General features: G+C 45.5%; 1 protein-coding gene across 4 annotated transcripts in view, besides 2 other annotated features; it reads right to left on the bottom strand.

Annotated features, from left to right (window-relative positions):
* The window catches only part of TRABD2A (TraB domain containing 2A), a 59419-nt gene that overhangs the window by 9680 nt on the left and 32778 nt on the right, over positions 1 to 16961 (bottom strand). Inside the window, exons 3-5 of one of the 4 annotated variants that reach the window (NM_001277053.2) lie at positions 10516 to 10662; positions 7804 to 7978; positions 710 to 800 (exon numbers count right to left, since the gene is read on the bottom strand). In NM_001277053.2, the coding sequence (NP_001263982.1) occupies positions 710 to 800; positions 7804 to 7978; positions 10516 to 10662 (413 nt within the window). Of the gene's footprint in view, positions 1 to 709; positions 801 to 4573; positions 6897 to 7803; positions 7979 to 10515; positions 10663 to 16961 lie in introns of those variants that run through there. The other 3 variants (NM_001307978.2, NM_001080824.3, XM_047443257.1) reach the window with 3 other exon arrangements.
* Positions 15176 to 15677: an enhancer, noted in NCBI's record as "H3K4me1 hESC enhancer chr2:85073645-85074146 (GRCh37/hg19 assembly coordinates)". NCBI's record gives its function as "activates a minimal SCP1, AML or CMV promoter by ChIP-STARR-seq in primed H9 embryonic stem cells {active_cell/tissue: H9 hESC(primed)}" and the evidence as "EXISTENCE:reporter gene assay evidence [ECO:0000049][PMID:30033119]".
* Positions 15678 to 16177: an enhancer, noted in NCBI's record as "H3K4me1 hESC enhancer chr2:85074147-85074646 (GRCh37/hg19 assembly coordinates)". NCBI's record gives its function as "activates a minimal SCP1, AML or CMV promoter by ChIP-STARR-seq in primed H9 embryonic stem cells {active_cell/tissue: H9 hESC(primed)}" and the evidence as "EXISTENCE:reporter gene assay evidence [ECO:0000049][PMID:30033119]".

Consider the following 16961-nt stretch of genomic DNA (forward strand, 5'->3'; position numbering starts at 1 on the left):
CTCAGTCTGTGGTTGTTGTTATGACAGCCCAAACAGACTACTACAGGGGAAGGGGAAGGACACCTGGGGCCCACCAGGATGGACGACCAGTTGGGAGGCCAGTGGGTGGACAGCATTGCTGAGGGCTGGGGGCTGGGCCTCCTGAGTTCTTTACAGAAAGGTCTGAAAGGGCAGAGGGCAGTTTGGCCAAAAAAAAAAAAGAGAGAGAAATAAACCTAGGGAGGAGGAAACAGCTCAGAGAAAAGGTGCTTTCTCCTGCCCCTGAGAAGGGTGAGACATGCACTCCCTGCACCCCTAACCCCTCTGGCCTGTTTACCACTGTCATGGCCCGATTTTGCCTCCCGAAAACTTCCAAAACACCTAGGGCAAAGGACACTGGGCATTAAGCCTAATTACTCCTCCTTTCCCCTACCCCTCAACCCCTGGGCAACCTTCCCTTCACCTTCCCCCGCTTGCCAAACACCACTGAGGAAAACGCCAGTGTGGCCCCTGCAGCCCAAAGTGTCCATCCTGCCAACCACGTCTGACACAGCCCCAGCCACACAGAGCCAGCTGAGCTGGTGCCAAATGTCCATGTAAGGTCAAGTGTGGGGGAAATGACGAGGCAGGGGTTCTCTGGAGCTCCTCAAGATAGCAGCCCACCCTGGTGCCCAGGCAGCCCCATGAGGGTCTCAGCTCCCCAGCCAAGATAGAAGCACAGGACGGTTACTTGTGGATGGGTCGTCCAGCAGGGGCGTGTTCTACCTCATAGCCTTCACGCCGCAAAACATCCAGCACTGTGTTGTTGCCCATGAAATGACCTGCAGTGAGAAAAACAACCTGAAATGCTGCAGCTCTCAGGACCACCAAACATACTCCCCAAACACACACCCTAGAACCAAGAAATTACCCTGCCAAGCCCCCTGCCTATCTGTCCAGCACAGTACAGTTCTAGAGAGCTTCTGGAATCAGGCCTGCCAACAGTCCTGCAAGGCAGGCAGGGCAGCATCAGTAGCATTTCAGAGACAATGACACTGAAGATCAGAACAATGCAGCAAGTTACCTGAAGTCACAAAGCTAAGGGGATAGCCTGGACATCAAACTGCAACCTGGTAAGACCTCCCAGAAGAGGTGATATGTGAGCAGGATCCTGAAAGGTGAGGACACTGGTCTGGAGAAAATACAAGAATTCAAGCTGAGCACAGTGGCTCACACCTGTAATCCCAGCACTTTGGGAGGCCGAGGCGGGTGGATCACCTGAAGTCAGGAGTTCAAGACCCACCTGGCCAACATGGTTAAACCCCATCTCTACTAAAAATACAAAAATTAGCCGGGCATGGTGGCAGGCACCTGTAATCCCAGCTACTTGAGAGGCTGAGGCAGGAGAATCACTTGAACCCGGGAGGCAGAGGTTGCAGTGAGCCGAGATCATGCCACTGCATTCCAGCCTGGGTGACAGAGCAAGACTCTGTCTCAATTAAAAAAAAAAGGAGGGGGGGGAATTCCCAACTACAGGATGGAATGCAATTGTGCTCTCTGAAAAAACAGGGAGGCTGGTGGGACGGAAGGAATGGCTACTTCCCAATCACCACTTTCTAGAAAAAGTAAAGGCAACCTAATCTAAGATCTGTCATTCTTGGAGGTTTCTGCATAGGACAAACCCACTGTAGTCTCAGGAGTCACAACCAGGGAACCCTGGGAGCCTGCGGCAGTACAGCAAATAGGCCCCGAGAAGGAAGCAGAAGGCCCATGGTTCCTGCTTTCATTTTCACCCTCATGCATCAAAGGGGGTGTTCATGGGTCAGCAGGGGCTCAGAAAGGGAAGTTTGGCAAAACCATTCCCTCCCATCCTCCCCTCTCCTCCCCACAGCCTAGACCAGCCTAGACAGCTGCCAGTGCAGGGGCGATAGCTGTAACCTAGAAATGTGGGGTAGGAGAGGAGGCCACTGGAGAAGTAACCCTGGCAAACAGGAGCCAAAAATCAGCATGAGCTGATTTAAGATCGACACCTAAATAAGAAAAAAAGTCATGTCTTTCACCACTGATCCTAGGTTATTCATTTGCAAATAAGGAACTGGCAATTTAGAACAAGTGATTATAGTTTCCACTTAGCACTTCTGACTTCAATTTTTCTTCTACTGCAAAGGTGATTTCCATTTCTAATCTTCGCATTTTATATCCAGATCCCCATGACAAAAGTCGCTGCTTGATTTTAAAACTCCAGTACTTTCCATTTTCAGTTATCCTCATTTTGCAATTAAAAGTTTGCTAACCACACAGCTTTTAAGTTTTAAAAGCACACGGTAATGTGTTTCGGAGCAATTTCTGTAGTTTCCTCTGTTCAACTTAGCCTTCAGAAGGCACAGAGAGAAAGCAGCTACAGGAATATAACTTTGCCTTAGAAGGAGCCAGTGCTAGATGGGGGCTCACAGCCCCTGGGCACTTCGGGCATCAGGAGTGCCCAGGGGCTGTCAGCCCCAATCTAGCCCTGCATCAGTATGACAAATCAAGCCCTGAGTACTGGGCAAGCTCAGGTGTTGGTGTTGCCTGTTCCACCTGCCTGGCAGAACCCCCACCACGAGGGCCCACCCACCGAACTGCTCAGACCAAGCTGTGCCCCAGCCTCCCACCAGCCCAGAACCCAGTCGACCTTTCCCCTCTCCCCAGCGCCCCATTACCCCTGCCACGGGACATACGGGAAGTTTTTGGGAGCTCACCTAAGTCTGGCAGGGGTGGAAAGCAGAAGCCCACACTCCAGCACCTGGGCACCTTCCATCCACACAGACCCGGGGTGGTGCATTGGGACACCACCACTGGCTCTGTTTCCTAACTTTCTCATCTGGGGTCTGCACCACTGTTACGGTGCCTCAAGAGTGAGGCCCAGGCTAACAGCTTTGTTCCAAGAAGCCATTTGTTGAGACAGTACAAATGTGCACACGGTGCCCAATCCAGACATGAAACACAGGACTTACAGAAGAAGAAAACTACCACATACTCACGGGCATTGCTGAGGGCACAAACTGCAGTTTGTTTGTGGCAGAACTTTTCAATGAGCATAATGTGGGAGCCAAACCCCTTATATTTCTATAACAGTTTTATTAATATTTGAATATAATTCACATAACATAAAATTCATCCTTTTAACGTATGCCAGTCGGTGATTTTTTCTGTATATTCAGAAAATCATGCAATCATGACCACTATCTAATTTTAAAACATTTTCATCGTTTTGACCCCAGCCCCTGGCAACCACTAATCTATGAATACTTTCTGTCTCTATAGATTTGCCTGTTCTGGACATTTCATATAAATATAATCATATGATTTTGTGACTGGCTGTTTTCACTTAGCATAATGTTTTCAAAGTTCATCCATGTAGTACCATATATCAGTACCTCTTTCCTTTTTATGGCCAAATAGTATTCCATTTGTGTGTATATATCACCTTTTATTTATCCATGTCAGTTGATGGATAGTTGGATTGGTTCCACTTTTTGGCTATTATAAATAATGCTGCCATGAACATCTGTGTACAAATTTTCGTGTGGACATATGTTTTCAATTCTCCTAGGCATATATCTGGAAGTTGAAATGCTGAATCAAATGGTAGCCCCATGTTTAATTTTTAAAAACTGCTAAACAGTTTTCCAAAATGGCTACACCATTTTAAATTCCCAGTAGCAATGTATGAGGGTGCCAATTTCTCCATGTCTTCACCAAAACTTTTTACTCTCCATCTTTTTTATTATAGCCTAGTGAGTATGAAATGGTATCTTCACTTTAGCACCACAACAATAGGACTCCAGTAAAATAACAGTGGATTATATGTGAAAGTGCAGCAAGACTCAGACTCTATTTAAGAAGGTTCTTAAGAAAGCACAAGACAAAAAATACTAGAGGAAAAACTAGAGGTCACTAGAGGAAACTGAAGCCTCTGGGACCTAGAGTTACAGCAAACATGCCTTAGTCTGTGTTGCTGTTACAAAATACCACAGACTGGGTCATTTATAAGCAATAGAAATTTATTTCTCACAGTTCTAGAGGCTGGGAAGTCCAAAATCTAGGCATAGGCATTCAGTGCCCAGTGAGAGCCTTTTTTTTTTTTAATACAGAGAGTCTTACTCTGTCACACAGGCTGGAGTGCAGTGGCATGTTCACAGCTCACTTCAGCCTCGACCTCCAGGGCTCAAGTGATCCTCCCACCTCAGCTTCCCAAGTAGCTGGGACTACAGGCACACATCACTATGCCTAGCTAAATTTTTATTTAATTTTTGTAGAGATGAGGTCTCACTGTGTTGACCAGGCTGGTCTCAAACTCCTGAGCTCAAGTGATCCTCCTGCCATGGCCTCCCAAGGTGCTGGGATTACAGGCATGCACCACCATGTCCAGCTGAGGGCCTTCTTCCTGAGTCTTTACATGGCAGGAGGGGCTAATGCTATATCTTCACATGGTGGAAGGCACAAGGGCAAAAAAATAGCCTACACTACTTTCCTCCAGTCCTTTTAAAAAGCATGAATCCACTCATGAATGTGGAGCCTTCATGTCTTAATCACTTCCCAAAGGCCCCACCTCTTAATACCATGACAATAATAATTAAGTTTCAACACACAAGTTTTAAGGAACATTCAGACCACAGCAAAACATTAAACAGCCCAACTCTGAGAAAGATTAACATAAACCCTCACACTAAAAACATATTTCCCTCACTTCCCATTGCCAAATACATCATATCCAGCTTTCAATTAAAAATTACAAGTCACACTGGGAGGCAAGAAAAATCACAATCTGAAGAAACAATGAAAGCATCAGACCCAGACTCAGACATGATAGAGATTCTGGAATTATCAGATAGGGAATATAGTTGAACTGAAGAGCATCATCAATCAAATTGATCTAATTGACATTTAAAGAATACTTCATCCAACAACAGCAGAATACAAATTCTATTCAGCTCACATGCAACAGATTTCTCCTTCGTTTTTGATTTTTGCTGGATGTGGAAATGTTTGTTGACAGTCTTTTATTTCAGCATTTTGAGTATGTCTCCCATAGCCTTCTGGCTTGCATGGCTTCTGATGAGAAATCTGCTGTTAATCCTATTGGGGATCCCTTGTCTGCTTTGCTCTCACTGCTTTCAAGATTCTGTGTCTTTGGCTTTTGACAGTTTGGCTATGACACGCCTTGGTGTGAAACTTTTTGATTTTATACAACTTATAGTTCATGGGTTGAATGTGCAGAGTAATATTTTTCATCAAATTTGAGACATTTTCAAGCAATTTTAAATTCAAATATTCTTTTTATTTCTTTCTTTTTTTCTCTCCTGTCTTCTGGGACTCCCGTTAGGTATACATTGGCACACTTGAGGGTGTCTCACAGGTATCTGAAGATCTATTCATTTTTCTTCATTCCTTTTCCTTTCTCTTTCTCATACTGAATCATCTCAATCAACCTATCTTCATGTATGTTGATTCTTCTTCTGCCAGTTCAAATCTACTGTTCAGCCCCCGTAGTGAATTTTTCATTTCAGTTCCTACACTTTAAATTCCAGAATTCCTATTTGGTTCTTTTAAAATAATTTTTATATTTTTATTGATATTCTGTATTGGTGAGATATTGTTCTCAAACTTTCCTTTAATTCTTTAGATATGGTTAATTTTAGGGTTTTTTTTTTTTTTTTTTTTTTTGGAGATGGAGTTTCACTCTTGTGGCCCAGGCTGGAGTACAGTGGTGTGATCTCAGCTTACTGCAACCTCTTCCTCCCAGTTTCAAGCAGTTCTCCTGCTTCAGCCTCCCAAGTAGCTGGGATTACAGGTGTGCGCCACAACGCCTGGCTAATTTTTGTATTATTAGTAGAGATAGGGTTTTGCCATATTGGTCAGGCTGGTCTCAAACTCCTGACCTCAGGTGACCCACCTGCTTCAGCCTCCCAAAGTGCTGGGATTATAGGCGTGAGCCTCCGCACCTGGCCTCTTTTAGTTTTTTGAACATATTTATAATAACTAGTGTTAAAGTCATTTTCTAGTAAGTCCAAGATATTAACTTCCTCAAGGACAGCTTCTATTGGTTGCTTGTTTTTCCCTGGGTATGGGCCATACTTTCTAGTTTTGCTCTGTGTCTTATAATTGTTTTTATTGAAAACTAGACATTTAAATAATATACCAACTCTGGAACTCATCTCCTCTCCCTTAGTCCCAGGTGCATTGTTGTTGCTGTTTGTGTAGTGATTTTCTAGGACTAAGTCTGTAAAGTCTGTATTCTTTGTTGTGTGTGATCACTGAAGGATCTGCTCAGTTAGTTTAGTGGCTGGCTAATGACTGAACAGAGATTTCCTTAAATTCCTTGCAAGTTTCCCAACCTTTGCAGAGGGGCTGTGTGAGTTTGGGGGCATGTATTTGATGCTTCAACAGGCAATTTATGACTTTGCCTTAGCTTTCACACTCTGCTTACACAGAGCCTCAAGATCAGCCAGAGGTGAGAGATTAGGACCTTCTCAGGTCTTTCCTGGGCATGTGCACAGCTCTTCTCATGCATGTGACTCTCTAGGAATATTTTAGAGCTTTTCTATACCCCCTATGGGATTTTGCTTTTAAGTTTTTTGGGCAGCCCCTTGTAAGCTTCAATTAATATTGCTATTTCCAGCAACTATGATGTTAAACAGCTGCTACTGATTGTTTTCAACACACACCCTAAGAATAGGGCTATTCACACAGAGCAAGCTCTGAGTCAGGTCAAATGAAGACAAGCTTGGGAATGGAAATTTCAGGGAACTATTGGACATGTCAAATAGTGATGATTCTTTAAGGATGGAGCTTTGGAGGAACTTTGAACCCATTCTGTCCCCTCCAGTAACCATTAGGCAAACAGTTTTCACAGCTACTGTAGTTCAAGGCTCCTGATTTTCAAGGCTACTGTGAAGCTGGGAAAAGGGAGATAAAAACAGAACAAGTTAAAATGCCACAAAGCCCACTGCTTCTATCAAAATTCATCCAGTTTTCTTAAATAAACACTTCTAGGATTGTTGCAAGCCTTTAATTAATTTCCAGAGCTGTGGAAAAGTTGATTTTGACCATTTTTTCCAGTGTTCTTATTGCTGCTATGGAAGAACAGGTTTTTGGAGGCCCTCACTCCACCATTTCAGAATTGCTTCTCTCCAACCCCCTATCTTACTGGTAAAGAAACTGAGTGACATGACTTGTTTAAGTTTATGAAGTTAGCAGAAAAATATGAAACAAAGCCCAGCCCAGCAAATGATCTTTCTGCATACTGTCCAGCCTCTGGCATTTCTATCCTCATTTCCTGAGGCTGCAAAGAATTCTGTGTCAGAGTCACTCCGGGGGAGAGAATTTATTTCAAGAAGCCCACAAAAGAAAATAATTGTCCTATTCTGTCTCCATGTGTGCTGCTAACAGTCAATAACAGCTGATGTATCAGCCCCAGGCCTTGGACTTGGGAGGCTCATTGTCAGGTAGAAGAGTAAAGACAAACATATTTGTAGTGAAAGTTTACAAAGTGAAAAGTACCAGAAAGAAGTTGGGATTAAGTATGAAATTCAGAGGACAAAAATGTTTTCCCAGCTGGCTTATGTGTGGAGAGAGCTATGGGTGATGTCACATGCACCAGCTCATCCAGCAACATTTCAACCATGCTGGATGCTCCATCCCCAGCTGGAGCCACTCTGCAACTGAAATAAGTCAAGGAAGGTGTCACTCCCTTCATCTCGCTTCATGACTAACACAGGCCCTAAGCAGGGGCTCACCTCAACATTCCCTTCTTGGGAGAAGCCTCAGATTTCAGAGGCTAATCAGAGGTGACCCACTACTCACCAGCTCCAAAGGCAAAGAAGAAGCCTTTGTCAGGGAACTCCTCCAAAAGGGCCTTCACCCGCTTCCCTATTCTCTCATTCCGCTTGTAGATCAGCTCCCGGCGTAAGTAGCTGTCAATCTCCTGAGCAGTGATGCGCTCCTGAGGTGGTAGCGTGGCATTAATAAAATTGGGAACCTCCACCAAAATAAAGAGAAAAAAAAATAAGGGGCAACAGAGTTATTAACAAAGTTACTTCATTGGAGCATCAAATCCCCCAACCTAGATGGTCAAGACGTTGTCAAGAGAAGAGTGACACCATTCTTGGAGTTTCCTGTCTGCTATGTTTCCCACTCTATCACATTCCCTGTAACCAAAGTGAAAAAAATATTAAGTGAAGTGCATTGAATGAACTCTTACACTATTTACAACTGCACTTCTGTTTTAGTTAAATGGCTCTGTCTGATGCCGTGTGTTTATAAAAAAAAAAAAAGGACACTGTCTTTGCACAGTACATCCATAGTTTTAACTTGTGTGATTCATACATGCTTTTCTTATAAAAATAGTCTTATATAGTTACATATTTTAGATTCTATTACCGAAAACATGAAATTTGTATAAACACTTAAATGTTTTATAAATCCTCTACTTTACATTTTCATTATTTCTCCACTTCCTATTTCTCTCTCTTGCTTTCCCCAATGTTCTTTGCCCTCCTGGCAAATATTTCACTGATTCTGGTATACATGTTAGCCAGTTTCAGTATTTTGGCTAATAACAGGATGAAAGTGCATCAAAATTGTGACAATCAGCGTGGTTCTTGCAGCCCAGGAGCTACAGGTAAGGCTGGCACTCTGTGTTTTCTCCCCACCCCCTCAGCTGTCTGGCTTCCCAAACCTCAGCCTCCCACTCCTCCCCCTGGGTGCATGCTCTCTCCTCCACCCAGGGACTTAACAATGTTACCCATTATCTTGGTCAGTATCTACCCTGCCTGCTGCTGCTGCTTCCAGTAGCCTCTCAAAAAGCTTTCCAAAGTCCTCAGACTCTGTGACAGCATTAACTTCCATCTTATGGATAACAGATCTCCTTTTGCGACGGCCTCGAAATGATATTCTTTCATTTTCAAATCGACAGCCTTCATCTTCTACTCTGTCATCTTTTTTTTTAATCATGTCATTTATGTAAGATCCCCTGCCCATTTCCCAAAATCTCTTCTCTTCAGCAGAGCCCCCCTCTCTACCAGCCTCTCTACAGAGGCAGCGTCAGATACACAGGGTGACCTCCCTCTGACATCCTGCTCCACCTTCTAAATTCCAAACATCACCCAAAGCCTGCACCACTCCCTGCTGGCCAGCCTGGCCCTCACTCACAGTGACAGCACATTCCCTGACCTCCTGTAGGGGCCCTGTGGGCAGAACAGATATGGGAAAGCCACAGGAGAAAAATGCATAAGACATCTGTATTATCTGCTCCATCAGCCTCACCATTTGCCCACGTAATGACCAAATCCTCCGCCCACATTAACTTTTTTCTGCTGCTTCAAATGTCAATTTCCCAATTGATCTTGACTTTTCTCCCCCCTTCCCTACCCTCAGCAAGAGTGCAGGTAAGATTTATCACCACCACCAACTCTATTTTTCCTTCTTTAATGTGTTTCTTGTTCTCCCTTTCCTCCTGCTTCACTTTGTCTCAATTTGACTTTTTTTTCCTCTAGATTTTTGGGGATGCTCCTTACATCTTTTGAGGCTTCTGTCATTAATGAAATGTCACCTTTCTGGGCTGATGCTGCACTCAGCCTGTACTGTCCTTCTCCCCATTGCTGCTATTCCTCCTTCAGCTCTCATGTTCACACATGTCTCCTTATGGTTGGGTCCCCAGATTTAACATAGACCTGTACAGCATCACCCACACCCACTAGCTCCTGTCTCCCCTCTCCAGTGTCTTCATGCATGTGGACACCAGTCCTGGGTGGGGGAAACAACACACTCCCCTACCTCAGAAGTTTAGCTGGTGTTTGCTATTTGCATGTAGTCCTAGAGAGGAGGCGAAGGCACCATGGCTTGTCCCATGGGAAGCCTGTTGATAAAAGCATAACAAAGATCCGTACCACTTCCCTCCTGGAAGGAGACCATGATCTTCTGAGGCTGAGCAGCTACTTCCTTCCACTCAATGGCCCACAGGTAAGGCCTGAGCTGGGCAAACACTCAATCCACCAGCTCAGCCACACTCATCCTGCAATACCACAGGATGCAATGATCCACGTCTGCAAATGCTAGCAGCCTTCCCAGCTCTGATGCCCTAAGCCTGTAAGCATTCTGTGAATACACAGCTATATCATGTTCACATGTTCCTAGAGGCCACTGAAGCTGCAGTCAAAGTTCTGCCCCATCATTTTGCAAAAGTATGACCTAAGTCAGCCAGGAGGCCATCAGACTCAGAACCCTTCCCTTCCTCAAGGCTGGTTCATGTGGCCTACTGTTAAATCCTTTGAAGCTTCATCCTTTGGCTGGAATACTGGAATTAACCCTCATCAATGCCCCTCTCTGTTCTTACAAGGTTTGTAAAGCTTTCATTCGCTGTAGTGCCTCATTCAATGACATCTAAATCTGCCCACTTTATTTCTAGAGCCCTCATGACCTCAATCCTTTGTACACAGGATGTACATGTTGCCAGGTAATGTTTTTATTCCTATAATTAAATGTGTGCTGAGCTTGGCAGGGGGAAAGGGTGCTCACCTGGGAGCTGTCATGGCTGAGGATGACGGAGCTGAGGTCCCCGCAGTTATAGTGTTTGATGAGATCCTCCGTCGTGTAGGGGATCTGAAGACTGCCTGCTCGCAGGCTTTCCTGCTGCAGGAGGGTCTGGTTCAAAGCAAAGATGACCTAAAAGAAAGGTCTCTTTTAAGTTCACTAACAAGGCAACTGTTTGCTGCCATCTTATTTCTTTTGTCCATGGCTGGAAATACCTTCACCTTTGTGCTCGTTATGTAAGGACGTGGATAGTGCTACTTAAAAAAGGGAACACAAATCCCTGGACAGCATCCAAAGAAAAGGAGAACAGTCCTTCCCAAATCAGCCCCAATCAGACACACCTAGGGAACTGCCTTATGGAGGACACAGACAACCTGGAACTCTTCCATGAGTGTGACCAAGAGGTGAGGGAACCCAAGAGCTGGCTTGTGAGGAATAGAAGCTAGGAGGTGGGGCAGCGAGAGGGCTGGGGACTCACAGACACACCTACCAGTGGGTCCCAATTATGTAAAGGACTGGGCAGAAACCAGTGCATTATCCACATCTTTTCTAACCATCAATGCAGCATTCCCAGCTAATGGCGTCATTAGATCCATGGGATATTAAGGGAAGTTAATGTGAAAAAATGGGAAATGAAGGCTAAAGAAAATTAAACACCAGCCTGGCCAACATGGTGAAACATGTCTCTACTAAAAATACAAAAATTAGCTGGGCATGGTGGCATGTGCCTCTAGTCCCAGCTACTTGGGAGGCTAAGGCTAGAGAATCGTTTGAACCCAGGAGACAGAGGTTGCAGTAAGCCAAGATTGTGCCATTGTACTCCAGGCTGGATGACAGTGAGACTCTGTCTCAAAAAAAAAAAAAAGAAAAGAAAAGAAAATTAAACAGGTTTTAATTTTACAGAACTTCTCAGAGTCTTTAATATACTAATGTGCGATGTGGGTCTCCTTGATGGGGAACAGAGTATGCCAGGTTTCCCAAACATATTTGAGGCATACATCACAAGAGAAAGCTTTGTTGAAACATATTTTGGGAAAATCCAGATTCAAGATCCTGATGCCAGGAACCCTATCTCTCCAGCTCTGACCCAGATCTCCAGTGTCCAGGAGAATTCATTTTACAAAGCAGGGAATTCTCCTGGGCACTGGAGAGCTGGGTCAGAGGTGGGGAGGTAGGGTTCCTGGTATCAGGTGGGTAGTGGGGCTGGCCACCCCCTACGAGGCTCCAGACAACACTTACAACCCGTGGAATTTTCTCTCTCACTTTCCCCAGGTACAGATGCAGCTCTATAGCCTCTGACAGCTCCCCTTTCTTGTGCTTCCCCAGTAATCAGCATACAGGATGCTGCCTTTGCTGGAATATCTCCTCACTCTTTGCTGCAATACAGACAGGCTTGGTCCATCTGTGTTGCAGCAAAGACTGACTATGAGGTCTTTAGCAAGATGTTTCAACTCTCCAGAGACAACGCATTAGAGGTCTTAAGTCAGCAAATGACCCTACCCAGCCCCAACCCCTTTCTCCTTTCACATGTTCTCCTCATTCTGAGTGGTGAGGAGACAAGGCTTCCTGGTTTGCCTCCCATGGGCCAAGGTGGCACAGGCCCACTGCGTACCCCTTGTCTCAGTCCATTTGTGCTGCTACAACAAAATGCCTGAGACTGGGTAATTTATGAGGAACAGAAATATATTTCTCACCATTCTGGAGGCTGGGAAGTCCGAGATCAAGGCACTGGCCTTTGGTCTGGTGAGGGCCTTCTTGCTGCATCCTCACATGGAAGAAGACAGAAGGGCAAGCTAACTGAATGGCTGCATGACACCTCTTTTATTAGGGCCTTAATCCCATAAAGGCCTTATAAAGAGGAGTCTTAATCCCAAAAAGGTCCTTATAAAGAGGAGCCTTCATGGCTTAATCACCTCCTAAAGGCCTCACCTTTTAATACCATCACACTAGCAACATCTGAATTTTGGAGGGGACACATTCAAACCACAGCATCCCTCCTTCCACATAGTTTACCTCCCTCAGTTACTCTAATATTTCCTGTGCCTGTGATGCAACCTTAACCAAAGGAGACAGATCTCTCTGTAAAACCCCTCCATCCTCTCTTCTCTCAATACCTCCTCCTTTTCTCTGGCAGAGGCACCTCCAGTCTCTCTGGAAGGCGTCTCCCCAAGGTTCTGCACAATAGCCTCTTCTGTCTTGGTACCCTCTAGACCATACTGTGTTCCCATCCTTCCCATCCCTCTATTGGTCACAAGCCAGAGCAGGTAACAAATCTGCTTGGTCATGCGGTGATTTGGTTTGGCTGTGTTCCCACCCAAATCTCATCTTGAATTGTAGCTCCTAGAATTCCCACGTGTTGTGAGAGGGACCCAGTGGGAGGTAATTGAATCATGGAGGTAGGTCTTTCCCATGCCGTTCTCGTGATAGTGAATAAGTCTCGTGGTTCTATAAAGGGGAGTTCCCCTGCACACGCTCTCTTGCCTTCCACCATGTAAGACACGCCTTTCCTCCTCCTTCACCTTCCGCCATGATTGTGAGGCCTCCCCAGGCAAGTGGAACTGTGAGTCCATTAAACCCCTTTCCTTTACAGATTACCCAGTCTTGGGTATGTCTTCATTAGCAGTGTGAGAACAGACTGGTACATGTGGGATCACAGCCTTGCCAGAAAAGCAGATACACCCGGGTGCTTGTCTGCAAACTGATCTAAATGAGACAACTCAGCCTTCCACAGGTATAAGCCCCTGCATTCTAAAGCCATACAATTAGGGCCTACCCACAACAACTGGGAATTGCCAACTGACTTCAGATCAGCTGGAGGAACAAACCTTCAAAGGTTTGGGAGGGAAGAGAGAGGGGCATTATGAAACACCTATCAGGTATGCCTGGCCCCAGGCCCAAGTCCCACATATTCTGTCTCCATCTAACTCATCCAAGCCAAATCCTCAGTCTGACTGGCTCACAAATACCTGCTGATGAGCTTTGCTATTCTCTTAAAGGCATTGAGCACAAGCCCAGGTTACCTGGTGCTTAAATACCTTCCTCAAAGAGTGTCCATTAATTTTGAAACATTTTTCTTTCTTAAGGTTTTCTTGGTATTTGGAGAAGATTGAGTTACCCATTGTAACAGACATGTCAGTCTGCAAACTGGGGCAGACTGTGTATGGGCCACATCACAGATTAAATAAGAACTTTAGGCCAGGCGCGGTGGCTCACACCTGTGATCCCAGCACTTTGGGAGGCCGATGCAGGTGGATCCCTTGAGGTCAGGAGTTCAAGACCAGCCTGGCCAACATGGTAAAACCCTGTCTCTACTAAAAATACAAAAATTAGCCAGGCATGGTGGCAGGTGCCTGTAATCCCAGCTACTTGGGAGGCTGAAGCACGAGAATCGCTTTTAACCTGGGAGGCAGAGGTTGCAGTGAGCTGAGATTGTGCCACTGCACTCCAGCCTGGGCAACAGAGCAAGATTCCTTCTCAAAAAATAAATAAATAAAATGACTACTGGAGAGTTTTGTGCATTATAATGATTTAAGATATCAGGTACTCCCCTACTGAGAATTACACACAATCCCTGGTGGAAGATGGACATTAGGACAGTGACCTGGCTAATGGTGTTCATCAGTGACAGGTTTCTGGCCCTGTGGTCCTCAAGGACCAGAAGGCCTGGGAACAGCAAAGTTGGGGGAGACAAGGGCGGGGGAAGAAGGGTAGCAAAATGCCAACTGTGATCCTGAGTTACTCTAGGATTCTGGAAACTGAGTGGTTGATAGACTGAACATCAAGAATGGAAGGGCATAAGGGATGATGAAGGGTATCATGAGAGTTCATTCTGTGTCAACTAATCAAGGACAGAATCAAGGCAAGTCACAGTACTAAATGATCCTAAATTTCAATCATTCATCCCTTCTATTCATTAATTCAGTCAATAAATAGTTATTATATGCCCACTGTTCCAAGCACTGAAGATACAGTCATGAACAAGACAAGATCCTTGCCTTTAATGGAGCTTTCATTTTACCTGAAAAAGGGGGCATTTTTCAAGAAAAATCTTGAAAAGATGGGTGGAAAGGAGGTCTAGTGTATCATAGAAGCTTCTGGGAGGAGAAGGAAAGGCAGAGGCCCAAAGTTAAACTCTCTGATTTCAGGCTTGCCAGGACAGCACATACACAAGCAAATCAAAACCCTTGATCATCCCAGGGTCATTGCTTTCTATTTTTCCTGGAGGGGAGGGAGGTCACCTTGTGTCACTGAGCACTATGGTGAGGAGACCATACTATAAACACTCTTCTTTTAAGGAAGTTTGAACAGTGGGCTGTGCATCAGAGTTAGTGCTGAATCTTTCTTTTGTTGCTAAAAACCACAGAAATGTACTTTTTAAATCTCTAGCATGATTTCCTGTAATCACCACACGCCTTTCCTTTCAGAGCTGCTGCAATGATCCAAATAACAACCCAGGGGAAGCATGGCTTTCATGTGTGCTTATTTATACCCCAACTACTTATGAAAGGCCTTAAGCTTCTCACAGATTAAAACCCAGCACAAGATAAGCCGTTGACCTAAAAGATCAAGAGATACAGTGCCTCGAGAGACCAGCTAAGTGATGAGGTAGAAGGGGCTGGATTTCCTTGGCTGAGAAGAGCAAGGATCCTGCCCCCACTGTGCTCACCAGCAGGTGCCAAACACCAAACACAGTGGTCGCTGTATGTCCAAAGAGACGCAGTCAATGAAAGTCAGAGGAAGGCTCCATGATGAGCCTCAAAGACAGCTTGGCCTGGGGTCATCAGACAAGGCAGCCCACCCCAAATCCCTCCTTCGCTGGCTTAGCTGAGATGTGGGGAAGTCTCTGGGGCACTGTTTATGTTAAGCAAGGCAAAGCCCTCACTGAAACAGACTCCTTGGAGAAAGACCCAAGACGGATTCCTGAAGAAACAGTCTCTGAGTGGGATCAAAGTGTCCTTACAGGGTTTCCTTGGAGCCAGAATACTCCCCTGATGACTCAAGGTGCCTGTTCGCACACTACCACCACAAACCAGGGAGGCAGGTCACTGCTATCCAGCTGTCCCACTCCAGATGGCAGCCCTTTATCACCTGCACTGCCCAGACCTAGTAGTCCATGCCTCAGGCTGCCCTGGAGGGAAGCTGGGCAGGGGCAGGGCCCTGCTGAAGGTGCCTCCCTTGGAGTGAACCTTTGGTCAGGCCATGGGTAGCCATCTGTGGAGCTAGAGGAGGTAACTCCCTCTCCAGTGAGGAGCCAAGTCCAGGGCAGGGCGGTGCTCCAAGGGAAATCTCCATGGGCACCACAGGAGCAATGCACAACCCTAAACTCACTCCCATTCAAATGACTGAGGCCCAGATATAGCATCCTCATAAACTACTATGGCATCTCTGAAGGACCCCTCTCTGATAGAACTAATGACTGTCAGTCATCCTTACATAATTTACTCTCCTTGCTGTGCTTGGAGAAGTCTGAACCAGTCTAACAAATTTGGGGTTTCAGGATGTGGCTTGTGGATAAGAGAATTGCTCAGAAACTCCCACCAGTTAAGTTGACCCCAGGGCGTCTTCCAGGAGGGCCATCCTGAATGGGGCATTGTCACTGATTAAGTCACCTCACATGAATCAGCTGAACACACCTGGGGTACAAGGACTGTTGTTCCTGGAGATCCAAAAAGGCCAGGTGCCATGAGCAGTATGCTCAGCCAGGAGCTGGGGACAGTGGCCAGGAGGGGAGAAAGGCAAAGGAGCAGGCACAAGGGTCCTGGATGGATCCACCCGGCCAGTGCTCACTGCCTCCCACTGTGCCTCCCTTTCTCCATTCAAATCCTTCCTTTACAGTTTCTGTTAACGTTTTTCATGTGTTGTGTTAGGCTCCTAGGGCTGCCATAACAAAATACCACAAATTGAGTAGCTTAAACAACAGAATTGTATTGCCTCACCATTCTGGATGCTAGAAGTGTGCAACCAAAGTGTTGACGAGGTCATGCTCCCTCTGAAGAAGTTGGGAAAGCATCTATTCCAGGCCTCTCTCCTAGCTTCTGGTGGTTCCTTGGCTTGTGGCTACATAATTCCGATCTACATAGTGTTCTTCCCACATGTGTATCTATCTCTGTGTCTTAATTTCCCTTTTTTATAAGAACAGTCATTTTTGAGTAGGGCCAACCCTAATGACCTCATCTTAACTTCCTCACCTGCAAAGACCCTGTTTCCAAACATAGTCACAATCTGAGATACTTGGGATTGGGACTACAATGTAAGAATTTGGGGATGAAGACATAATTCAACCCATAACACATGTCGATCTCAGCGTTCCTTTTTTTCTAACAGTATGCATATGGTAAAAATTTTAAACAGTGTAAAGAAATAGATTGCCTTCCAATTCCCGTTCCCCAATCAGCAACCACTGCTGTCAACACATTGTATCTCTTTCCATG

Source organism: Homo sapiens, chromosome 2 (assembly GCF_000001405.40).
Source record: "Homo sapiens chromosome 2, GRCh38.p14 Primary Assembly".
NCBI classification, from domain to species: domain Eukaryota; kingdom Metazoa; phylum Chordata; class Mammalia; order Primates; family Hominidae; genus Homo; species Homo sapiens.